The sequence below is a fragment of the Homo sapiens genome, chromosome 12 (assembly GCF_000001405.40).
Source record: "Homo sapiens chromosome 12, GRCh38.p14 Primary Assembly".
Taxonomy (NCBI): domain Eukaryota; kingdom Metazoa; phylum Chordata; class Mammalia; order Primates; family Hominidae; genus Homo; species Homo sapiens.
In genome coordinates, this window is record NC_000012.12 from 111,859,386 (window position 1) to 111,885,596 (window position 26,211).

General features: G+C 43.3%; 1 protein-coding gene and 1 pseudogene across 11 annotated transcripts in view; one reads left to right on the plus strand and one right to left on the minus strand.

Moving 5' to 3' along the window:
• Nucleotides 1-26,211, plus strand: part of MAPKAPK5 (MAPK activated protein kinase 5) — a 59,995-nt gene that overhangs the window by 17,158 nt on the left and 16,626 nt on the right. For 4 of the 11 annotated variants that reach the window (NM_139078.3, NM_001371479.1, NM_003668.4 and 1 more), the window contains exons 2-9: nt 5,865-5,938; nt 6,771-6,846; nt 8,187-8,284; nt 9,368-9,476; nt 10,886-10,975; nt 11,700-11,795; nt 21,062-21,142; nt 24,196-24,383. In NM_139078.3, coding sequence (NP_620777.1) covers nt 5,865-5,938; nt 6,771-6,846; nt 8,187-8,284; nt 9,368-9,476; nt 10,886-10,975; nt 11,700-11,795; nt 21,062-21,142; nt 24,196-24,383 — 812 coding nt within the window. The remainder of the gene's footprint in view (nt 1-5,864; nt 5,939-6,770; nt 6,847-8,186; nt 8,285-9,367; nt 9,477-10,885; nt 10,976-11,699; nt 11,796-21,061; nt 21,143-24,195; nt 24,384-26,211) is intronic. The other 7 variants (NM_001371482.1, NM_001371483.1, NM_001371485.1 and 4 more) reach the window with 5 other exon arrangements.
• Nucleotides 20,295-20,868, minus strand: RPS2P41 (ribosomal protein S2 pseudogene 41; annotated as a pseudogene).

The window sequence follows — 26,211 nt, forward strand, 5'->3', positions numbered from 1 at the left end:
CTCCTGCCTCAGCCTCCCGAGTAGCTGGGATTACAGGCACCCGCCACCACGCCCAGCTAATTTTTGTATTCTCAGTAGAGATGGGGTTTCAAGCTGGTCTCAAACTCTTGACCTCGTGATCCTCCTGCCTTGGCCTCCCAAGTGCTGGGATTATAGGCGTGAGCCACTGTGCCCGGTCAATTTTAAAATTTTTATTTTCAGCTGGGCTCAGTGTCCTACGCCTGTTATCCCAGCACTTCTTTTTTTCTTTTCTTTTCTTTGCTTTTCTTTTTTTTTTTTTTGAGACTGAGTTTCGCTCTTGTTGCCCAGGCTAGAGTGCAATGGCATGATCTCAGCTCACTGCAGCCTCTGCCTCCCTGGTTCAAGCGATTCTCCTGGGTTAGCCTCCTGAGTAGCTGAGATTACAGGTGCCCACCACCATGCCCGGCTAATTTTGTAATTTTAGTAGAGACGGGGTTTCATCATGTTGGTCAGGCTGGTCTCGAACTCCTGACCTCAGGTGATCCACCCGCCTCAGCCTCCCAAAGTGCTGGGATTACAGGCGTGAGCCACCGTGCCCAGCGAATCCCAGCTACTTGGGAGGCTGAGGCAGGAGAATTGCTTAAACCTGGGAGGTGGAAGTTGTAGTGAGCCGAGATTGCGCCATCGCACTCCAGCCTGGGCAACAAGAGTGAAACTCCGTCTCAAAAGAAAATAAAATATTTTCATTTTTTCTTCCCAGCCTGGCTTTTGGTGGGTTGTCCCTGTATCTGTTTAACTTAGTTGTCAGCCAGTGATTTGGGCAGAGGTTCTCAAATACTTTCAGCCCCTGAGGCTTTTACCCTATCCTGATCAACTTACAGTCAAATGCTCTACTGCTGAGCTATACCCCCCTGATCAATGTGTATGTGGGTTTGGAGAAACTCTAAAAAATTGCTGCTGGCTCTAAAGTCTCCTTTGGTTTTCAGTTTTTCCTGGTTCTCTTAGGTATAATTTCCCAGTCAGTGATGGTCATGTGAAGAGCTTAACTCAGACTTTCTATGGCTCTGTTTCAGGATTTTCCCATTAAATCTCTGGATGTTCTGCCCATCTAACAAAGACAACTGCCAAAGCTGTTCATTTCCATCCACATTCACCACTTTTAGCTGGTAGATCCATGAATTTTCTTCCTCACCCCAAATTGAGTCCACCCCCTAGAGCAGCAGAACTGCTGATTTTCATAGCTGGCCCCATGTTGGGAAAACTAGCATTGTCACCAGCTGACTATGCTGTAAGCAGTGGGGATAGAGGAGTAGAAGGATGGCAGGATCCTAGGCTAGAAAGCTTACTATTTTTACCTGAACCTCTAGCAGATTTTCAAGAATCTGTACTTCTCAGTTTGTTTGATTTACACTGTATTGAAATAGTTCTTTCTGACAATTTTAATTTTTAACTTTTCCATTGTGGCGAGGAATTGCCTACCACTTCATGCTGTGAATACAAGAATTTCTATGCCTGTAATCCCAGCACAGGCATGGAAATTCTTGTATTCACAGCATGAAGTGGTAGGCAAGTGAGGCCGAGGCAGGCAGATCACTTGAGGTCAGGAGTTCGAGACCAGCCTGGCCAACACGGTGAAACCCTGTCTCCACTAAAAGTACAAAAATTAGCTGGGTGCAGTGGTGGGCACCTGTAATACCAGCTACTCAGGAGGCTGAGGCAGGAAAAGCTTGAACCCAGGAGGTGGAGGTTGGCGTGAGCCGAGATCGCGCCACTGCACACCAGCCTGGGCAACAAGAGCGAGACTCCGTCTAAAAAAAAAAATAATTTCCATTTTTTCTTAGTTTTTGAGCTTCAGAGAATGACTAGGGTCTGCCTTACTAGAGATAAAGGTAAGAATAGAGGACTAATGCCCAGGCCACTTCTCAAACAAGTAGTATTAGAATCCCCTTTGTGTCAGGTAGTTTTTTTGTTTTTTTTGTTGTTGTTGTTTTGTTTGTTTTTTGAGATGGAGTCTCACTCTGTCACAGGCTGGAGTGCAGTGGCGTGATCTCGGCTCACTGCAACCTCCGCCTCCCAGGCTCAAGCGATTCTCCTGCCTCAACCTCCCAAGTAGCTGGGATTACAGGCGCCGCCACCACACCCGGCTAATTTTTTTATTTTTAGTAGAGATGGGGTTTCACCATGTTGGTCAGGCTGGTCTCGAACTCCTGACCTCATGATCTGCCTGCTTCAGCCTCCCAAAGTGCTGGGATTATGGGCATGAGCCACCATGCCCGGCCTGCATCAGGTAGCTTTAAAAAAATCTTCTCAGGCGATTGTGATGTGCAGTTATTGTTGAGATCCAGCAGTTTAGAACAGTGTTTAGAAAAGCAAGCTTTCTCTGTAAAGGGTGATATAGGAAATATTTTAGGTTTTGCGGTCCCTGTGGTCTCTGTTCCAACCCCTCAACTCTGTTGTTGTAGTGTGAAAGCAGCCAAAGACAGTATGAAAGCGAGTAGATATGGCTATATTCCAATACACTTTATTTGCAAAAACAGGCAATGGCTGAATTTGCTGACCCCTTGTCTTGGAGAATTCTCAAAAATGATTTTATTCCAAGTGTTTGTATCCTTGTTAATTTAAGGTAGTGTGTATATTTCTTAGCACAACCCAGCCTTTGCATTTGTCATTGATGTCTTTGAAGAATTAGTCCATAATTTCCTTCAGTAGAAGTGTTTTAATTGACCATGCCTTCCTACCTTCTCCTTTGTCATTAAAATATGTGAGAAAATGTGCCAGCCGTGGGCAATCTAGTTGAAAGGTGTGTGTTAACTTTTTTGGCCCAGTTGGGCTCAGTGAAGCCTTAGCTGGCTAGTGTTTATGGCACCATCAACAAAGATGGAAGAATTAAGCCTGGGAAAAAGGACAGGAGGTATAAAAAATGGGGTCCAGAAATTCAGCTGTAGGAGAGCCTGGTAGTGGTTCTCCTACCTTCTGCAAAGTTCAGTGTCAAAACTCCAATCAGAGTCTCTACAAGTTGAACTTTCTTGGCTGTCCATCAGGTAGAGTACTAACTTAGTAAGTACAGTGGAGGGCCGGGTGCAGTGGCTCATGCTTGTAATCCCAGCACTTTGGGAGGCCAAGGTGGGCGGATCACCTGAGGTCAGGAGTTCAAGACCAGCCTGGCCAACACAGTGAAACCCCATCTCTACTAAAAATACAAAAATTAGTTGGGTGTGGTGGTGCGCAACTGTAATCCCAGCTACTTGGTAGGCTGAGGCAGGAGAATCGCTTGAACTCGGGAGGCAGTGAGGCCAGATCACGCCATTGTGCTCCAGCCTGGGCGACAGAGCAATACTCTGTCTCAAAAAATAAAAAAATAAGTACAATGGAGAATTTGGTCAGACAACTTATTTTTACATCCGAGGGGTTGGGCATATGAACTCTGATTATAATGAATAGTTCAGTAGAACAAATCTTATTTTCCATAGAGTCTACTGTGAGTGTATGATTCCATTAGTTGAGTGGAACAGTTTTTACCACGATGCTTAAATTCTGCTTCAACTCCCTCCTTCCCACTACTCTATTCCCCTGGGTCTCGTCAGATACTCCTAAGTCAAACAGGTCATGTAGCAGATAAGTGAAGGAAGTAGGCAGGTTAAGTGGGTAGGTTTGAGTTCTGTTGAGGAGGTGGTGAGTGAAGATGGAGCCTAGGACCTCTCTGATTGGGCAGTACTTGTTCCTAATCTTTATGCTGGGGCCTGGGCAGTTACCCTTAATAGATGGAAAGGTGCTTAGGGTAGGGGATGGTAGAGGACGCCAGAGCCATAGATTATAGCCTAGATAGTGCCCATAACTCACTGTGTGACCTTGACAAGCTCCATAATCCTGACGCACAGTTTTTCAGAAGGGAGTTTGTATAGCGATCTTTTGGGTCCTCCTAACTCAATATCCCTTCATCACAAGGCTTTAGTCTGCCTTTCTAGGGATTAATTCCTTTCTAGTCATTCATTCCATAGTTATTTACTGTATGCTGAGAACCTTTACCAAGAATTGGACACAGAAAGGGGTGGAGATGAAGACTTTCCAAGCCTGGCACATTCACTGGATAGAGGCCTTGTTTTCATACCTGAACTTAGCCTGGTATACTAGCTGCTCAGTGAGTGTGTATTACGTAAGCAAATATCCTATTCCTGTATACTAGCGAGCGGGATTCTTGTGCTACATAGTCTATCAGATTTTCATTGCAACAAAACAACGTGAAAGTCTTATGGATTTTGATTTTTTTTTTTTTTTTTGAGATGGAGTTTTGCTCTTGTCGCCCATGCTGGAGTGCAATGGCGTGATCTTGGCCCACAGCAACTTCTGCCTCCTGGGTTCAAGCCACTCTTCTGCCTCAGCTTCCTGAGTAGCTGGGATTACAGGCATGCGCCACCATGCCTGGCTAATTTTGTATTTTTAGTAGAGATGGGGATTCTCCATGTTGGTCAGGCTGGTCTTGAACTCCCACCTCAGGTGATCCTCCCACCTCGGCCTCCCAAAGTGCTGGGATTACAGGCATGAGCCACTGTGCCCGGCAGGATTTTGATTTCTTAAGGTCTGCAGTTGGTTTCCTATTTTACCTGTGGAAGCCTGCAAAAATGAATTTTAGACTATCACAATTTAAATATGTGACTTTCTTGCCTGTAACCCCAGCTATTTGGGAGGCTGAGGCAGGAGGATTGCTTGAAGTCAGGAGTTTGAAACCAACCTGGGCAACATAGCAAGACCCTGTCTCTAAAAAAAGAAAAAAGAAAAAAATTAGCCAGATGCTGTGGTGTGTGCCTGTTTTCCTAGTTACTTGGGAGGCTGAGGTGGTAGGATCATTTGAGCCCAAGAGTTCAAGGCTGCAGTGAGAAATGATCACACCACTGCACTCCAGCCTGGGTGACCCTCGGTCTTCTCGGCTCACTGCAGTCTCCACCTCCTGGGTTCAAGCAATTCTCCTGCCTCAGCCTCCCGAGTAGCTGGGACTATAGGCACGCGCCACCACGCCCAGCTAATTTTCGTAGTTTTTAGTAGACACGGGGTTTCACCATGTTGGCCAGGATGGTCTTGATACCTTGACCTCATGATCTGCCTGCCTTGGCCTCCTAAAGTGCTGGGATTACAGGTGTGAGCCCGGCCGAGACCCTGTCTCTTATAATAAATAAGTGAGTGAATGAATTAATTAATTAAATTCTTTTTTATCTAAAAGCATATGGCAACAGAGGCTAACATGCAATAGTTAGCCAAGAATTCCATTACAACTTTCATTAAACTGTAGAGGCTCTATCCTAAACTGTTGAAAGTTATTTATATCAGAAATATACTTACATAATGAAATTGACAGAATATATCTGTACACAAAATGGTGGTGTTGGAAATTAGATGTTTACTATGATATTGATTAGTTACTATTTTTTTTGAACTTTTAAGTCTCAGTTTATTCAGTTATTCCAATAATGTAATCAACTTGTTCAGGGATATAGGCCTCTACAGCTTGGCAGCATATATCTGACTAGTCTTTCTAGAATCTCATAAAATATACTTGACCATTGTAGCAAAGAGGCATTTAGTAATTGATGCATTTTGAAAGAGTATCTTCCTCTCAGAACCCCCCAAAAGCATTGATTGTCTATGGAAATGTACCTTATAGATGAGCTGAATAATTTCCTTTTATCGTGAAGTCTTTGCTTTCTTGTTGGAAAATTGGGAAACAATGTCTGAGTCATTGTCATTTAGACAAAATGTCATAAAGCCCTGTAGAACACAAAGTTCTGCTTATCAGATTCTCTTAGAAGATGAGCTGTTGAGTGACAGGTCTTCTGTTGTCCCATCTCTGCTTATTCAGTTTGTTAACTGAGGAATCATTCTCTGTCCTCTCCCTTTTTTTATATTAATAGGAAACTTCCATTTTAGAAGAATACAGTATCAATTGGACTCAGAAGCTGGGAGCTGGAATTAGTGGTCCAGTTAGGTAAGAGATCCATATGAGAAACTATGGCAAATTGTTGGCATGTGCAAACTCTGAGAAGGGCCATTTGAAATACATCTTGAATTAGACACATCAGGTGTGCCAGATTTGAGGAATAGGCTGAATTTAACAAGTACAGGTTTTTATGTTAGGCTTTTTCTCATGTATTTAGGAATTAGTTAAGAGTGACTGAGTCGCATGGTCTTTTTATAGAGTCATTTAAGATGTCGAGACTGGCCAGGCGCGGTGGCTCATGCCTGTTATCCCAGAACTTTGGGAGGCTGAGGCAGGCGGATCATGAGGTCAGGAGATGGAGACCATCCTGGCCAACATGGTGAAACCCCGTCTCTCCTAAAGATACAAAAATTAGCCAGGTGTGGTGGTGGGTGCCTGTAATCCCAGCTACTCGGGAGGCTGAGGCAGGAGAATCACTTGAACCAGGGAGGCAGAGATTGCAGTGAGCTGAGATCATGCCACTGCACTCCAGCCTGGCCACAGAGCGAGATTCTGTCTCAAAAAAAAAAAAAAAAAAAAAAAAGGGTGTCGAGACTGTGGGGCCACTGTGAGAGTCACCTATAGCCAGCTGAGGCCATTATTTTTTCATTGACCCACAGCCCCAAAAGCATGGCTTAGAAGCTGAGGCCTGAGCATTGGCTGCTGGGCAGAGGGGTGAGATGCTTCTTTCCCCCACCTGCTACCCTTGGGGGCAAGTTTGTTCTGGATGCACCTGGCCATATCCTTGATGAGAAGTACAAATCTCAAAGAAAAAGCTTGTTAAATTAATTTTCATTCTAACATATATGATCTCTGATTGATTTTTTTTCTCCAAATCTAGAGTCTGTGTAAAGAAATCTACTCAAGAACGGTTTGCGCTGAAAATTCTTCTTGATCGTCCAAAAGCTAGAAATGAGGTATGCTTTATTGCCTCGACTTAATTAAATAGTTGAAGTGCCTAAGAATTGTTCTTTTGCAAGTAAGGCAGCTTCCTAGAGAGAATACAGTGATGCATAAAAAGTTTTATGTCCAAACTTTACCTCTCTTCCCCATTCATGCTATCTTAGTAAAGTAGTCCTAGATCTGTCAATATCAAAGGCCATTGAGTCATTTCCTTTCAGCCACCTCTTGTTCTTTTAAAATTAATGTGATTCTTGTACCCTCATGTATTCAGATTTACCTCAGTTTTGCTTATTGAAGAAGGTACTTAAAGGTGGAGATAAAATAGCACAAGGAAGAGTCAGGTGAATGGTGTATAAAAGTGATGCTACAGGAGGACTCTGAGGATGTTTCTAGTTTGTTTCTTCTTTTTGAGACAGAGTTTCACTCTTGTTGCCCAGGCTGGAGTGCGATGGCGCAATCTCGGCTTACGGCAACCTCCGCCTCCCGGGTTCAAGTGATTCTCCTGCCTCAGCCTCCCGAATAGCTGGGATTACAGGCATGCGCCACCACGCATCTTGTATTTTTAGTAGAGACAGGGTTTCTCCATGTTGATCAGGTTGGCCTTGAACTCCTGACCTCAGGTGATCCATCCGCCTCGGCCTCTCAAAGTGCTGGGATTACAGGCGTGAGCCACTGTGCCCGGCCTTTAGTTTTTAAAAATATACATTGGGTTTGTTTTTGTTTCTGTTTGAAACCGAGTCTTGCTCTGTCACCCAGGCTGGAATGCAGTGGCACGATCATGGCTCACTGCAGCCTTGACCTCCTTAAGCTCAAGTGATCCTTCTACCTCAGCCTCCTGAGTAGCTGGGACCACAGGCATTTGCCACCATGCCTGGCTAATTTTGTTTGTATTTTTTGTAGACATGGGGTTTTGCATGTTGCCCAGGCTGGTCTCAAACTCCTGGGCTCAAGTGATCCACTTTGGCCTCCCAAAGTGTTGGGATTACAGGTGTGAGCCACTGCCCCTGGTTATACATTGGTTTTAAACTATCTGGATATGGTAATGACATTCTAATAACATGTGCAATGAAGGACTTCTTTTGCATAAAGAAATGCAAATAATTTCTAAAATGAAATGAATTGTTTGCCAGATTTTCATTTGCAAATAAATGGAACAGTAGGAAGTAAATCTGTTGGTGAGTTTTTATTCATGGAAAAAGCATTAAGGAGATAATCTTTGAAAACACTGGGTTTTTACATCATTCTAAGTGATAAAGTTTTTATTGTAATTAGCTTGTACCTAGTATGGTCAGTTTTTGGAGAGAAAATGTTGGTATCCCCTACCTATTGATACATTTCCTCTGTTCTCTTTAAGGTACGTCTGCACATGATGTGTGCCACACACCCAAACATAGTTCAGATTATTGAAGTGTTTGCTAACAGTGTCCAGTTTCCCCATGAGTCCAGCCCTAGGTAAGACTACACAGTGTCATCATCAAATGCCCACATGTAGGCCAATGTGTAGTGGAGCTGTCCTCTCTTTTATGTGCTCCCTCCCCTTCCCTCTCCTTCTTCCTCCTACCCTCGCTTCCTCTGCCCTTCCTTCTCCCCCTCCATCTCCCTTTTTGTAATTTGGAAAATGTCAAGCATTTGTAAAAGCAGACAGAATTATGTAATGAATCCTCAAGTTCTCATGATCCATCCTCAACAGTAATCCTCTTGTGGCCAGTCTAATTTCATCTATGCCCCTACCACTCTTCACATCCCCTGATGATTCTGATTACTTTCTCATTTCAAGAAAGCATTTAATGTAGAATTTAAACAGATTCTATTTCAAATCAGTGAAAGGGGCCCAAATATTATTCTAGGCAGAGTCTTAGAGGCTGATAAAACAAAAAGCCTTTATTATTGCTTAGTCTAACTTTCCTTTTAAAGAAAGAAATCAACATTATTCTTTTAGTTACCAAATGTTTGGCAAGCATATTGGGTGGCATTCTAAGTCTCTTTGTTAAAATTCAAAATTAAATAAGGTATGGTTTTTTTGGGGAAGACTGAGATGTAAACCCATCATCATAGCAGTGCAATAGGCACTAAGGACAGGCATCCCTAAAATATTCTAAGCTTACAAAGGAGAGGAGCTGCTAACTATAGTCTGGGAGGAGAGGTGTCTCACAAAGGCTGTGTGGAAGCTAGGACTTGAAGGAAGGGTAGGAATTTTCCAGATGGAAAAAGAAGATAGAATTTTAAAAACAAATGGGAAATCAAACAAATGGGAAAAAAACGCTTATTTTTCACAACTGTGCTCTGTTGGTGAAAGCATTTGGATGGAAGCTGGAAGCATATATGAAAGAATGGTAGCCAAAAATCACATTAAAATTTTTTTTTTCAGAACATGAGAATTTTTGCTCTTAGTAACTGTGTTACCCTGGACTTAGGAAGTTGTTACACACTTTGTAGATGCAGTATCTTTAGGTCAGCTTCTTAATGTTTCAGGGTTTTTTGTTTCTTTTTCTTTTTTTTTTTTTTAACTTAACAAAATCAAATGCTTTCAAACAGGGCCCGACTCTTAATTGTAATGGAGATGATGGAAGGGGGAGAGCTATTTCACAGAATCAGCCAGCACCGGCACTTTACAGAGAAGCAAGCCAGCCAAGTAACAAAGCAGGCAAGTTAACCCCAGGTACCAATCAAACTGCCACCAAAGTTGGTTAACAAGCACAATTTCATTGGGGGGAAGAAAAGAAAACTTAAAGAAAAGCTCTATTTGACTTCTCATTGCCTGCTTTGTTATGTAATCAGAAAAGATGTTTTGACAGGAGAAATGTGACCCCTTTTATACTTGGGGGTGGGGGTACTGTGTTCTTAATTGGTTGTCAACTGTTTCCTGAGGCTGCTGTGAGATTTCAATAAACTCTGGAAGGAAGGCATCTTAACTGCTTTGTAGACTGCAGTTATCTTTAGGCATGTAGCTACCAAGTACTGTTATTGGACTTTGCAATAAAATGCTGCTGATACCACCTGAAAGATTGTATGGTATAAAAATGTATTTTAAGAGAATTGTACATAAGATGCTTCCTGCATGTGAGCCACCTTTCTGTGATTTCTTCAGATTTAATAATATCCTAAGATCTTTGTAATTCTGAATTATTCCTGGTTATATTCTATGTTGACATCACATTTTATTGCTGTAGAAATGATTTATGTCACAAACAATACTAGGAATCCAGCTGATAATCACTTCTTGCAGAGGTGAAAAGCTAAACCCTCAAGGCTTATCTTCATACCAGGCAAGCAAAGCAAAGAGAATTAGGAAGCACAGCCCAATTGCTTCTTAATAAAAAGTTCTTCCAAGTTTCCCATGAACCTTAAGCAATTTTGGATGCCTCCTTTCTGGTAGGGAGGAACTGATACTTGGATTGCTGAGAAAATGCCATATGGAGAGTTAAAGAACAAGTAAAATCTGTTCTTTCTGTTTGATTTTTAAAATTATACCTTTAATTTTTTCAAATATTAGGATTAAAGGATGAGCTCTGATAATCTTCTATAAAATAAAACCCCTTCAAATCCACATAAACAGGCAACATTTTCAACAAGCATGATGAGCAAAATGAGTTTCCAGTATGAATTGGAAAAACCCAGTCAGCTGATTTCTTGACCCTCAGCTCCCTGGAGAGTGCCATTCTTGTCTGAGCCCTGCTGTGGGAACTGCGCCTGCTGACCATTGCTCAGCTTAGGTGTTTCTTCTGCAGTGTCTGTCATACCTCAGATGAATGAAAGTGGGAGCATTTCATTTTTCCCATTTCTTACAGGATTTACCCATCAGTTTATTCTGACAAAGAATTGCTGTACCATCATATTTTTCTTTCTGTCTGACAAAATACAAGTTGCAGTTAAACTAAGCTTAATCCATTCTGTTTCTTGGTATTCCAAGTTTTTCTTAATTTCTGCTTTAAAATTGAAAGTGAACGCAGTCTTAATGAAGGCTTGTTTTTTGACATCCTGAGTTCTCTACGCCAGGTGTATTAAAGAGTGGTCTTTTCTAAGAAGCGACTGTTTCATTGTGTCTTTTTTCAGATAGCTTTGGCTCTGCGGCACTGTCACTTGTTAAACATTGCGCACAGAGACCTCAAGCCTGAAAATCTGCTTTTTAAGGATAACTCTTTGGTGAGAAGACTGTTTTTCTGCATTTTAGTGCTGCAACTCTTAACATAGTTCAGGAGTGGGTGTGTTTGGAGCGCTCTGAATTCATGGTGAAAAAGCTTTAAGCCAAAGTGCTTCAAACAGCTTATTTCTTCAACTCGTTCCCTTGCTAGAGGCTCAGAGAAGCTGTACTACTGTACTCCCGGCATTGATAATTTTGGATGATACTGATATGTATTTGTGGGACTTAATGATTTTGGATATTATTTGGAGGACCTTTGGGAAGGGGCAGGAATCTGTATGCTGTTATATATTATCTCGTTTCATTTGCTGTTTTCCCTTTCAGCTCTGTCCCCTGCCCCATGTCTCACCAGATAAGTTGCTCTGTCTATCATGAAGCTTATGGCAGATATTAAAAGTGAAGTAGCATCCCAGATTGATGAGAGGTGATGGGCTTATAGAGTGAAGGGTCCCTAGGCCAAGACCTTGACGTTAGTGCTGCCCTTACAAGTTCTAAAGCAAAAATAGCTGTGTGAGTGGGTAGGAATTCCTTACTTCTGCATTACTAAGGACAGTTCCTCAGTGTGAATCATTGTCTCCAGACCTGGGGACATGTTATTTTCATAAGTTCGCATCTCAGCTGGAAAGAAACTTGTTAGATCTCAGGGTAACATGTCTTACACCTGGATTTTCCTTTAATGTTTACTGAGCACTCTGGAGCAGTGACTCCTTTTTTTTTTAATTTCAGGATGCCCCAGTGAAGTTGTGTGACTTTGGATTTGCCAAGATTGACCAAGGTGACTTGATGACACCCCAGTTCACCCCTTATTATGTAGCACCCCAGGTAAGCATGTGCGGTTTCTGTCCTAAGATCTGTCACCAAGCTGCCCATCAACTCGTGTTCCTTCTATTCTACAGCACAAGTAGGCATATATTACAGATGGGAGGGGGAGAACTTAGCTTTAGAAACCTACAGATTGCTTTATTTGGTGTAGATCTTTTATTCTTTTAAAATCAACTTTAGCCAGGTGCGGTGGCTCACGCCTTTAATCCCAGCACTTTGGGAGGCTGAGGCGGGTGGATTACAAGTTCAGGAGATGGAGACCATCCTGGATAACACGGTGAAACCCTGTCTCTACTAAAAAAAATATAAAAAATTAGCCGAGTGTGGTGGCGCACACCTGTAATTCGTGCTACTCAGGAGGCTGAGGCAGGAGAATCGCTTGAACCTGGGAAGTGGAGGTTGCAAGGAGCCGAGATGGCACCACTGCACTCTAGCTTGGGCGACAGAGCGAGACTCCGTCTCAAAAAAAAATAAATAAAATAAAATAAACTTTATTGAGGTATGATTTAGAAGTATGATTTACATACAGTAAAATACCTCCACTTCAAGGAGAGTTTGATGAGTTGTGACAAATATATACCCCATATGGCGACCACCACATTGAAGATGTGGAACACGCCCCTCACTTCACAAGCTGCCTGTGCCACTTTGCAGTCAGTCCCCTCCCAACTTAACCCCTGGCCCTAGGCAACCACTGACATGCTTTCTGTCATTATTGGTTAGTTTTGCCTGTTGAAGAATTTCAGAAAAATGTAATCGTGGACTTTGTATGCTTCATTTCTTTTGCTTAGCATGTTTTTGAGATTTGTCCATGTTCCTGCATTTATCACTCGTTAATTCCTTTTCATTGCCAAGTAGTATTTCATTATATACCTAAGCTGCATTTGTTTTTTCCATTCACTGACAGGATTTTGGGTTGTTTCTCATTTTTGGCTATTATGAAGAAAGCTGCTAGGAACACTTCTTTTACAGTTTTTGGGGGACATGTTCCCCCATGCCCATATCTTTTTTCCAAAATGGCTATACCATTTTATGCGTCTACCAGCAACGTATAGAGTTCCAGTCATTTCACATTTTTACTAACGCCTCATGCTTGTTGCTTGTCAGCATTTGTCATCTTAGTCATTCTGGTAGCGGGCAGAGTATTACTTCATTATAGTTTTAATCACGACATTGTCCTGATGGCCACTATTTTGGAGCACTTTTTGTACATGTGTATTGGCCATTCTGTTGTAAGTATGGGCATTCATCTTTTGCCATTTTGTTATTGTTGGTTTCTTGTTAAAGAATTGAGGTATAAGAATTTTAAAATATTCTGGACACAGGTTCTTTGCCATATGTATGTTGTATTCTTACTGCTGCTGTAACATATTGTCACAAACTTAGTAGATAAAAACAACAGAAATGTATTATCTTATACTTCTGGAAATGAGAAGTCTGAAATGGTACTCAGTGCTATAATCAAGGTGTCAGCAGGGCTGTGTTCCTTCTGGAGGCATTTCTTGCCTTTTCCAGCTTCTAGAGGCTGCCTACATTATTTGGCTTGTAGCCTCTTCCTTCATCATCAGAGCCAGTAGCATAGCATCTTCCAATGAGTGTCTCTCTCTATGACTTTGACCCTCTTGCCTGCCTCTTATAAGGACCCTACTGATCACATTGGCCTTACCTAGATAACTCCCCATTTTAAGATTCTTAACTTAATTGTTCTGCAATACAAGGTAAAATAATCCCAGGGATTATAACATGGACATCTTGGGGGGCCATTATTCTGCCTTCCATATATATATCATGAATATTCATCTCAGTCTGTGACTTGCCTTTTAATTTTCTTAATGGCCTTTGAATAGCAGAAGTTTTGAATTTTAATGAAGTCTGTTTCACCATTTTTTTTTTAATGCTTAGTACTTTTTGTTCCTAAGATCCACAAGCATAAATATTTTCTCTGATGTTTTCTTATAAGAGGTTATAGCTTTAGCTTTTACATTTGGGTCTGTAATTCATCTGAGTTTGTGTGTGTATGAAATGAGAGACCAGGTTCTTTTTTTCCCCCTTAAGGGTGTCAAGTTGTTGCAGCATCATTGGTAAAATGTTTTTTACAAATCATCATTTGTAAAAGGATTTGTAAAAGGATTGCATCATTGAATTGCAGTTTTTTGTTTGTTTGTTTGTTTGTTTTTGAGACGGAGTTTCATTCTTTTTGCCCAGCCTGGAGTGGTGCAATGGCGCGATCTCGACTCACTGCAACCTCTGCCTCCCGGGTTCAAGGAATTCTCCTGCCTCAGCCTCCTAAGTAGCTGGGATTACAGGAGCCCGCCACCATGTCCGGCTAATTTTTTGTATTTTTAGTAGAGACGGGGTTTCACCATGTTGGCCAGGATGGTCTTGATCTCTTGACCTCGTGATCCGCCTGCTTCGGCCTCCCAAAGTGCTGGGATTACAGGCATGAGCCACTGCGCCTGGCCTGAATTGCAGTTTTGTTGAAAACCAGCTGGCCATATATCTGTTGGTCTTTTCTGGATTCTATTCTGTTTGTTTAATATATGTATGTGTCTATAGCAAGAGCATCTGCATTATTGTAGCTTTATATTATATCTTGACTTCAGATTCATTCTTTTTCAAAATTGTTTTGGCTATTCTAGATCCTTTGCATTTCTCTACATTTTAGAATTCACTTCTGTATAACAGAAAAGCCTCCTGGGATTTGACTGGGGTGGTATTTAATCTATAGGTGAATTTGGAGAGAACTGATATCTTAACAATATAAGTCTCCCAATCGATGAACAAGGTATATATCTCTCCATTTGTTTAGGTCTTTAATTTTCCTAAAAAATGTTTATGCTTCTTAATGTTACAGGTCTTGCACATATTTTCTTAAATTTATCCTTAAATTTTGTTTTTGGATGCTGTTGGAAATGATATTGTAAAACATTTCAGCTGGGCGTGGTGGTTCACGCCTGTTATACCAGCACTTTGGGAGGCTGAGGCAGGCGGATCACCTGAGGTCGGGAGTTCGAGACCAGCCTGGCTGCCATGGTGAAACCCCATCTTTACTAAAAATACAAAAATTTGCTGGGCGTAGTAGCCGGTGCCTGTAATCTCAGCTACTTGGGAGGCTGAGGCAGGAGAATCTCTTGAACCTGGGAGGTGGAGGCTGCAGTTAGTCGAGATCATGCCATTGCACTCCAGCCTGGGTGACTAGAGTGAAACTGCGTCTCAAAAAAAAAAAAATTCATTTTCTAATTTTAACTAGTTTATAGAAATACTAGTGTTTTTTGTTTGTTTGTTTTGGGTTTTTTTTTTTTTTTTTGAGATGGAATTGCACTCTTTGTTGCCCAGGCTGGAGTGCAGTGGCGCAATCTCAGCTCACTGCAACCTCTGCCTCCTGGGTTCAAGCAATTCTCCTGTCTCAGCCTCTGGGATGACAGGCGCCCGCCACCACACCTGGCTAATTTTTATATTTTTAGTAGAGACAGGGTTTCACCATGTTGGCCAGGCTGGTCTCGAACTCCTGACCTCAGGTAATCCACCCACTTTGGCTTCCCAAAGTGTTGGGATTACAGGTGTGAGCCACTGCCCCCAGCCATACTAGTGACTTTTTTTTTTTTTTTTTTTGAGATGGAGGCTTGCTCTGTTGCCCAGGCTGGAGTGCAGTGGCGCAATCTCGGCTCACTGCAATCTCCGCCTCCCAGGTTCAAGCGATTCTCCTTCCTCAGCCTCCCGAGTAGCTGGGACTACAGGCGCCCGCCACCACGCCCGGCTAATTTTTTTTCATATTTTTAGTAGAGACGGGGTTTCACCTTGTTAGCCAGGATGGTCTCAATCTCCTGACCTCATGATCTGCCTACCTTGGCCTCCCAAAGTGCTGAGATTACAGGCGTGAGCCACTGCACCCGGCCCATACTAGTGATTTTTGTATATTGACTTTGTGTCTTGGGACCTTCCTAAATTCATTTATTAAATCTAGTAAATTTTTTGTAGATTTATTAGGATTTTCTTTTTTTTCTTTTTCTTTTTTGAGAGCCTAAAAGTGGGCATGCCTCTTCTGTTGCTCGGCCTTTAGTGTTGGGTTTGAGGGTTAAATCAGTCTACTCAAAAGTTGAGCTGAGTGTGAGTTTTGTTGTTGCTATCGTTGTCTTCAGTGCCTCAGTGGCATGGGATTCCTGTTTTGTTACCTTATGGTTAGGTGGGATCTGAAATGCCATTTTTTTTAAAATTTAAAAAAAATTTTTTTAAAATATTCCACTTCTACCCTCAGTCTTGGCCTTGCTAGTGCACCTGTACCTCAGAGGGGATCTCTCTTTACAGTCTTGGCCCCCCCTTAGCAATAGATTGCTGTCAGTTACTGCTTGGTCCCTGCAAGCCTGCAGAAAGGGAGATGGCAATGGGGGACCGAGAGGTATCTGTTTCTCTGCTGTTGGGCAGGACCTGTGTTCTTGAGTCTCATGAATATCTGGTGGAAGTCTGTGCAGAAGAGTATGGGAGCAGGCATGAGTCTTCCTTGTTTGTATGGCTCCTAGAGGGTCTGTACTCTTATCCTAGCCCACATTTTGCCTTTAGCAGTTTGTTAAAAACCTCGCTGAATTCTTTTTACCCAAATGGCATGTGATATCACTTCCTCCTGCGCTCTGCCATAGGTGAGCCAGCTTTCACTCCCCATCTCTCCTTGGAAGGGCCTGACTTAAAGATTTCCGAATAATTGGTTAACCTGAGACCTGATCTTTGATGGGTTCAAAAAAAGTGATGGGCCGGGCGCAGTGGCTTACCCCTGTAATCCCAGCAGTTTGGGAGGCTGAGGGGGGTGGATCACTTGAGGTCAGGGGTTCAAGACTAGCCTGGTGAACATGGTGAAACCCCGTCTCTACTAAAAAGACAAAATATTAGTCGGGTGTGGTGGCAGCCACCTGTAATCCCAGCTTCTCGGGAGGCTGAGGCAGGAGAATTGCTTGAACCTAGGAGGTGGAGGTTGCAGTGAACAAAGATTGAGCCATTGCACTCCAGCCTGGTGACAGAGCGAGACTCCATCTCAAAAAAAAAAAAAAAAAAAAAGGATGATTTTATAATTTATCTTTGACACTTTCCAGCTTTCTATATCCTAGCAGAAACAGAAATCCCAACAATTTGGGTGGAAGGAGGGTGAGGATCAAAAAACTACCTATGTGGTATTATGCTTATATAAAACCTGGGTGATGAAATAATCTGTATACCAAACCCCTGTGAAGACACTGCAGTTCACCTATATAATTAACATGCATAAAGCACATGTACCCCTGAACCCAAAATAAAAGTTAAAAAAAAAAAGTCCCAACAATTTGATTATGTATGCATTCTTGTTCCTTTGTTTTTCCTGCCAGGGATCTCTTGAGCTCCTGGGATCTGTTGGTTTATGGTGTTTATCAAATAAACACCATATCAAATAAAAATTAGGAAATTTTTCAGACATCATCTCTTCAACGATTTTTCTACTCCTCTACTTGTTTTCTGAGACTTCCAATCAATGACATATATATTAGACTGTACAGGGAACTGGAGTTCTGATCTTTTGTATTTTCATCCTTTTTTCCTTTTCTTTCATCCTTTTTTTTCTTTCTGCTTTCCCTTCCCTTCTTCCCTTCTGATATATACTCAATAGTGGCACTGCTGGATGATAAGGTATTTCTAGTTTTAATTTTTTTAGGAAGCTTCCCACTGTTTTCCATAGTGGTCATACTAATACACATTCTTACAGTGTACAAAGGCTCCCTTTTTTCCACATCATTGTTAACACTTGTTATCTTTTATCTTTTTTAATAGCCACTGTAAAAGGTGTGAGGTAATAATTTCATTGTGGTTTTAATTTTAATTTTAATTTTTTTTTTTGAGATGGAGTCTTGCTCCTGGCACAAGTTGGAGTGCAGTAGCACGATCTCGGCTCACTGCAACCTCCACCTCCCGGGTTCAAGCGATTCTACTTCCTCAGCCTCCCGAGTAGCTGGGATTAAAGGCATGTGCCACCACGCCCGGCTAATTTTTTGTATTTTTAGTAGAGACAGGGTTTCGCCATGTTGTTCAGGTTGGTCTTGAACTCCTAACCTCAGGTGATCCACTCGCCTTGACCTCCCAAAGTGCTGGGATTACAGGTGTGAGCCACCATGCCCAGCCTGTTTTTTTTTTCTTTAATATTTCTGGCCTACAAATGACTCCATTTGCTTATTTTTTTAATGCAGTGTATGAAAGTTTCAGGTCTTCTGCATTTTCACCTGCATTTGGTATGGTCAGTCTTTTTTATTTTGGCCATTTTAGTGTATATGTAGTGGTATTTCTTTGTAGTTTTAATTTGCATTCCCTAATGAGTAATGATGTCTGCCATCTTTTCTTTTGTGTACACATTTGTGTATGCACCTGCCTTCTGTATATTTTCTTCGGGAAGTGTCTGTTCAGACCTTTTCTGTATTTACAAAATTGGGTTGTTTATTTTCTTATTACTGAATTTGAGAGTTCTTTGTATATTTCAGATATGAATTCCTTTCTTTTTTTTGTTGGAGACAGGGTCTTGCTCTGCCACCCAGGCTGGAATGCAGTGGCACAATCATGACTCACTGTAGCCTCAACCTCCTGGGCTCAAGCGATCCTCCCACCTCAGCCTCCTTAGGAGCTGGGACCATAGGCATACGCCACCACATCTGGCTAATTAAGAAATTTTTGGTTTTTTTTTTTAAGAGATGGGGCCTCACCACATTGTCCAGGCTGGTCTCGAACTTCTGGGCTCAAGTGATCCTCCTGCCTCAGCCTCCTAACTTGCTGGGATTACAGGCATGATCTACCACGTCCAGCTGACTCTGACTCTTTTTTTTTTTTTTTTTAAACTCTCCCAGGTTGTCAAGAGATGGATACGAATCTTTTATTAGATCTGTGCTTTGCAAAGATTTTCTCCCAGTCTGTGGCTTATCTTTTCATTCTTTAACAGTGTCTTTTGAGGAGCAGAAAATTCTAATTTTCATGAATGCCAGTTTATCAGAAAACTTTTTTAAGGCCTGTGCTTTTGGTTTCCTATGTTGAAAATCTTTGTCTCACCCAAGATCAGTCTCCTATGTTTTCTTCTAGAAGTTTTATATAGTGTTAGGTTTTACATTTAGGTCTGTGATCCATGTTGAGTCAATTTTTATATAATGCATGAGGTATGGATCCAAGTTCACTTATTAGCATTTGGATGTCCAGTTGTTCTAGCACCATTTGTTGTTCTATTTATTTATTATTTATTTATTTATTTATTTATTTATTTTGAGACGGAGTCTCACTCTGTTGCCAAGTTGGAGTGCAGTGGCGGATCTCAGCTCACTGCAACCTCCGCCTCCAGGGTTCAAGCCATTCTCCTGCCTCAGCCTCCCGAGTAGCAGGGATTACAGGCACCTGCCACTACGCCCGGATAATTTTTTGTATTTTTAGTAGAGACGGGGTTTCACCATGTTAGCCAGGATAGTCTCGATCTCCTGACCTCGTGATCCTCCTGCCTCGGCCTCCCAAAGTGCTGGGATTACAGACGTGAGCCACCATGCCCCGCCTTAATTTTTATCTTTTAAGCCCCACCCTCAGAAGCAACCGTTCATGAAAAAGGCTGTCTTTTCTCTGCGGCATTGCTTTTGAGCCTTTGTCAAAAATCATGGAGCATATATGTGTGAATTTATTTTTGGACTCTTTATTCTATTCCATTGATCTCTTTATCTATCTTTACCCCAATACCACACTGTCTTGATTACTGTAGCTTTATAATAATTCTTGAAATCAGGTAGCGTTGGCCCTCCACCTTTGTTCTTCATTTTCAAAGTTGTTTTTGCTATTCTGACTTCCTTGCATTTCCATGTGAACTTTACAGTCAGCTGTTGATTTCTATAAAAAAGCCTACTGGGAGTTTTGACTGGGGTTGTTTTAGAGCTATCATTCAATGTGGAAGTGCTGAGATTTTAGTGATATTGAGTCTTCTGACCTATGAGCAAGCTGTATCACTCCATTCATGTTTGTCTCATAATTTTGCTCAGCAATATTATGTAGTCAGTTTATAGGTCTCTCACATATTTGTGAGATTTATTCTTAATGCTTGATATTTTTTCTGCTGTTGTGAATGGTGTTTTATTTTCGGGTTTAATTAACTCACTTTGTTGTTCTTGTGTAAAAGCTCTATATGGTGGTCGTGGTTAGAGCCCAGGTCCTCTGCATGGAGACTTTAGAGTAGGTTTTTTTTTTTTTTTTTTTGAGATGGGATTTTGCTCTTGTTGCCCAGGCTAGAGTGCAGTGGCTCAATCTTGGCTCACCACAACCTCCACCTCCCGGGTTCAAGTGATTCTTCTGCCTCAGCCTCCCATGTAGTTGGGATTACAGGCGCCCACCACCATGCCCGTCTAATTTTTGTATTTTTAGTAGAGATGGGGTTTCACCATGTTGGCCAGGCTGGTCTCGAACTCCTGACCTCATGATCTGCCTGCCTTGGCTTCCCAAAGTGCTGGGATTACAGGTGTGAGCCACCGCACCCAGCCTAGTGTAGTTTTTTATAAGATGGTCAGTGAATTTCTATTAGGTGAGATAGCTGCAGGTCTTAGAGGTGGCACTGAAGATGGCCTTTGCAAAGTTGCCCAAGATGGCACTGCAGCCCCTGGCTAAGTGGTAGCAGTTGTATCCCATCCGCCCCAGCTTCATGGGCACAGGGGCTGAGACAGTATCAAGTAGGTCGGGGTGTGGGATGAAGTCCCCTTGCACAGAACCTCAGCATCCTGTGACTTTTCAAGGAACAGTGTGGGGCTGCTAATGTTGTGACCCCCTCTGGAGTTCCTCCTCATGGGACATTAGAGAGGTTGGCCAGGATAATGGTCTCACGGTGGCAGTGGCTACCTCCTTGGAGCACTTAACACCTAGACTGACATGACTGTCATAGTCCCTGATGGTAACAGATGGCTTGAAGCTCATCTGCTGGACAGATCTGCTTTCGCATAGGCATAAGGGCTATCCCCAGGAAAAAGTCAGTGATCTCAGATTCCTTGATGGGCAGGAAGAAGAGAGGAATCTCCTCTAGGAACTTCATCTTCATGTCCTTGACCTGAGTATTTCCCTGGCTGATGGATAAATTACTGGTTGTAAGAAAAAAACGTTTTTGGAAGTGTAGTGTTTATGTGGAGTTTTTTTTCGATGGCTGATTGCCAGTTGTTTACCTCCTTCAGTCTCATAGTAGCCTGTCTCAAGGCAGGTTATCGGTGGTGTGATTTTCATTAAATGGTCCCCTTTGGTCTGACTCTTGACAGGTACTGGAGGCGCAAAGAAGGCATCAGAAGGAGAAATCTGGCATCATACCTACCTCACCGACGCCCTACACTTACAACAAGGTACAGGAAGAGATATTTCTCTTCATTTGACAGATGCAGCCCCTCTCCTTTAGTGAGGTGTTTGTGGCCCTCTGGGAGTGTGGCCAATTCCTTTCTCACCCCTTAATATTCCTGCCCCAAAGAAGCAGCCAGACTCGCAGAAAAGTATTTGGAATTCAAGTTTTTGTTTGATGAAATATCAGATAAGGTTCAGCCAGACTCGCAGAAAAGTATTTGGAATTCAAGTTTTTGTTTAATGAAATATCAAATAAAGTTTGTACCCAATTAGCTTTTGCAGTGGTAATTAGGGACCGTGATCATCAGTCAGGTTATTTTTTTGACTGTCCATATGGTCCACTGGCCACACTGAAAACATATGGTTGGCTTGTGTTTTTGAGGTGGAGGCCATTTCTGAGACACAGACGCTAGAGAACACTTTGTGGTCATTTATGGCACCATTCTTTGTTACCCCATAAAACACCCAGCTTAGAACAGTATCTGATACACATAGCAAGGGCTCCTAAGTGTTACTTGGTAATATTACGGTTCTTAATCTGTAGCCCACATTTTTTTTGTTGTTTTTTTGAGACAGAGTCTCGCTCTGTCGCCCAGGCTGGAGTACAGTGGTGTGATCTCAGCTCACTGCAACCTCCACCTCCTGTGCTCAAACGATTCTCCTGCCTCAGTCTCCCAGGTAGCTGAGATGATGGGTGCATGCCACCACACTCAGCTAATTTTTGTATTTTTAGTAGAGTCGGGGTTTCTCCATGTTGGCCAAGCTGATCTCAAACTCCTGACCTCAAGTGATCCGCCCGCCTCGGCCTCCCAAAGTGCTGGGATTACAGGCGTGAGCCACCGCACCCAGCCTGTAGCCCACATATTGATCCTGTCTGTTCCTTTTTTTTTTTTTTTTTTTGAGACAGAGTCTTACCCTGTCGCCCAGGCTGGAGTGCAGTGGCACAATCTCGGCTCACTGCAACCTCCGCCTCCCGGGTTCAAGCAATTCTCTTGCCTCAGCCTCCCAAGTAGCTGGGATTACAGGCGCCTGCCACCACGCCTGGCTAATGTTTTGTATTTTTAGGAGAGATGAGGATTCACCATGTTGGCCAGGTTGGTCCTGAATTCCTGACCTCAGGTGATCCACTCGCCTCGGCCTCACAAAGAGCTGGGATTACAGGCGTGAGCCACCGTGCCCAGCCGATCCTATCTGTTCTAAAGCACAAGAGGTTTAGGGCCTCTAGAAATAGGCCCTGGAGTCACTGAGTAAGTAGATCAGAAAAAAGATGCTACTTGGGGACTTGAGGCTAGATATAGATGACAGAAGGGGCTGAGAATGGTAAAAAGGCAGTAGGCTGGGACACTTGCTGTGGCTCCACTACTCTTAATCTGTGTAACATTGGTGAGGTCACTTGGTTTCACTCTTGACAGAGGACCTGAGAGATGACATGATCTCTGCAGTATTAGTTCCCTTTCTGGAAAGTGAGGGATTGAAGGTCCCTTTCCACCCCTGTAATTTTATTCTGTGATTCTGTTCTACAGCATGGGCTGTGTCATCCACAAATATCTACTAGTATAATGTGAAAACATGGGCAGGCCTGGCGCAGTGGCTCACGCCTGTAATCCCAGCACTTTGGGAGGCCGAGGTGGGCGGATCACGAGGTCAGGAGATCGAGACCATCCTGGCCACTGTGGTGAAACCCCGTCTCTACTAAAAATACAAAAAATTAGCCGGGTGTGGTGGCGGGCGCCTGTAGTCCCAGCTGCTTGGGAGACTGAGGCATGAGAATCGCTTGAACCCAGGAGGCAGTGGTTGCAGTGAGCTGAGATCGCGCCACTGCACTCCAACCTGGCGACAGAGTGAGACTCCGTCTCAAAAAAAGAAAATACAGGCGAGAGTACCTGAGACACCCCATTATTCAGCCTTTATGCAGAGCACCGCACAGCTGTGGTGTGAGGGGGAGTGTGGGGCCCCAGTGGCAGGCTCACGGGGCTGCCATCTTAGGCAGGCACCTCTTTTATCTCGCTGTTCAAGAAAGGCTTGAATTGAAGCCTCTGCAAACCCAGTTTTCAAAGCAAATGGAGCTGCATTTAACTAAAATAGGAGTCCTTTATGCAGTGATATAGGCCATGGAGTCACCTTACTACCTGCAGACATGGTAGTTGGTAGCAGTTTTCTTTTTTTCACAGTATCTTCCCCCAGAATGGTGTAAGAGCTTGCAAATGGACCTAGTGAGTCCTTCATGGTCAAAGGAATGCATTTAGACCTTCTGTTCTTCCCTCCAGTCCTCTCCATGATCTGTGTCAAACTGCTTTGGGCCTTTATGAAGTGGCCTGTGCTGTACTGTAGGTGAGCCTACCTGTCTCTTAGTTGCTTTGTTTCTACATAGAGGTTTCACAACCAGCTGGTTTATATTTATTTCTTTTCTGGCTGGGGCAAAGCATCCTATACCTGTACACAGGGATCAGATAGGTGCTTGGGCCTAAAGAGTGAGAATGAAAGTACCTGTACATTTTATCCCAGACTGGCTTTGTATGATGGGATGCATGTATGTAGTATTGGCAGCTTATTGAAAATATGGAGAGAGGCCAGGTGTGGTGAGTCACGCCTGTAATCCCAGCACTTTGGGAGGCCAAGGCGGGCAGATCACGAGGTCAGGAGTTCGAGACCAACCTGACCAACATGGTGAAAGCCTATCTCTACTAAAAAAAAAATACAAAAATTAGCCAGGCGGCATGGTGGCACATGCCTGTAATCCCAGCTACTCAGGAGGCTGAGGCAGGAGGAATTGCTTGAACCTGGGAGGCGGAGGTTGCAGTGAGCTGAGATTACGCCACTGCACTCCAGCCTGGGCAACAGAGCAAGACTCTGTCTCAAAGAAAAAAAAAGAAAGAAAGAAAATATGGAGATAAAGACTAGTTCTCCTAAGACTTCCTTCAGCTTTCCTAGTCTCTGTTAAGTGACTCTAGTTTATATCAGCCTATATATTGCAGGGGCTATTCCTGAGCCTGTCATGGGGTGTTTATTTGGGGGCTCTGCTTCTGCTGTGAGTGACCATTTTCTTTTTTGCTTTCAGAGCTGTGACTTGTGGTCCCTAGGGGTGATTATCTATGTGATGCTGTGCGGATACCCTCCTTTTTACTCCAAACACCACAGCCGGACTATCCCAAAGGATATGCGAAGAAAGATCATGACAGGCAGTTTTGAGTTCCCAGAGGAAGAGTGGAGTCAGATCTCAGAGATGGCCAAAGATGTTGTGAGGAAGTGAGTTCACGGGCTGCTGGGCATGGAGGCCAAGGAGGCCTCCAGGTGGTGGAGCACAAGGGAATGTGGGTAGAGAAAAGTCACTGGTTTCCTAGGCAGGCTCCTCCCCGTTTTAATATCACAGAAATCTCTCTGGAGCCTGAGGTGACTGTTCTCAGTGTCCACACCTTGGTGCGAATGAAGCTTTCCTCCCTCCTGTTGCATCCCTAGACTTTGTCCCCAGGGTGTGAACCCAGGTCCCTCCATAGGCAGTCTCTGCACATTAATTCAAGACCCTAAATTATAGACCTGGTGTGCTGTCCTTCTTACCTGTGAGCTGGCATGTCATTTGGGACAGATACAATGCCAGGAGGTGAACTAGGTGCCGAGATGACAAACAGCATCCTTGGATGCTGTGGTTATGTGGGTTTGTCAGGCCTGGACCCCACCCTCCACCTTCGCGCTGCCAGTTGGTTGCTTTGAGATGGAGTCTCGCTCTGTTGCCCAGGGTGGAGTGCAGTGGTACAATCTTGGCTCACTGCAACCTCCACCTCCTGGGTTCAAGTGATTCTCCTGCCTCAGCCTCGGCAGTAGCTGGGATTACAGGAGCCCGCTAACACGCCCAGCTCATTTTTGTATTTTAAGTAGAGATGGGGTTTGACCATGTTGGCCAGGCTGGTCTCAAACTACTGATCTCAAGCGATCTGCCCGCCTCGGCCTTCCCAAGTGCTGGGATTACAGGCGTGAGCCACCGCACCCAGCTGCTCTGGCATATCTTAAGATGGGAAGATTTAGTCAGAATTAGGGCTAGTGAGTGGATGAGGGAGAGTTGATATTCAGAGTCTTTTGGTAGCTGTAGGACTAGGTAAGAAGTCAGGCCTAAATTAGAATATGTTTGTTTTTTCTGCCCACCTGTGTGGGAGGCTGGGTGCCCATGGACTTAGGCACTGCCCCTGTCTTCCCACTGCTGGGTCTTCACTGAGCAGTGTCTCCCTTGTTGGTCTCAGTTTCTTCCTCTATAATGGGATGAAGGTACATGTTTAGGGGCAACACCTGGGAGCTGTCTCCCAACAGTACAGCCATTTCTCCGTGGAAATTACTCCCTTTCAAAAGTAAGCTTGTCCTGTTGATTAGAAGGTGGGGGTTGGGGGCAGGTTCTGTGTGCTATAAAGAGGGACTGTTTTCTAAAATAGACAAGTACAAGTTTTTAGGAACGTGGGTGCAATGATTAAATCACCATCTGTCTTGACATGCTATTTCCTTGCTGTATTCCCAGCTATTTGACCAAAACCTCAATGTCCTGTAAGTAGTTCTTTGCCAGTTTTCTATAGAATACATTTCCTGTCCCTAGAGCAACACTGATTATCTTTTTGGTTTTGGGATCTTCCAGATAATCCTTTCTTTAGAATCTGAAGCCATCTGTTCAGAATGATCCAGAAGAAGGTGGCAGACAAGCTGAAGGAGCAGTTAGGCATGTTGTCCTGACATTTGTAATGAGAGATGGAGTTGGAAGGAGGGAACGGGCTGAGATGAGCTAGGAACCACATCAGTGGGAATGAACAAGATGGAAAGAAGCATGATCTGAAGGCAGACAGCACAGAAGCAACACCCTGGGCTTAGAAGGAAATGCCATCCCTGTCTCAGAGACTCTAGGTTTTTAGCTTTTGAATGTCTGTGGAATAATGGGCTCATGTCCTGCCATATGGTGACATCTAGGAGTTTTATATTGGGTAGCAACCTGCTTTTCCAGAACCTCATGACCCTTCAACTAATTCTGCAGCCACTATCAGCCAAAAAGAGCACTCTGAGTTCCTTTTGGAAGTTAAAGCCCATTGTCCTAGAAACCTCA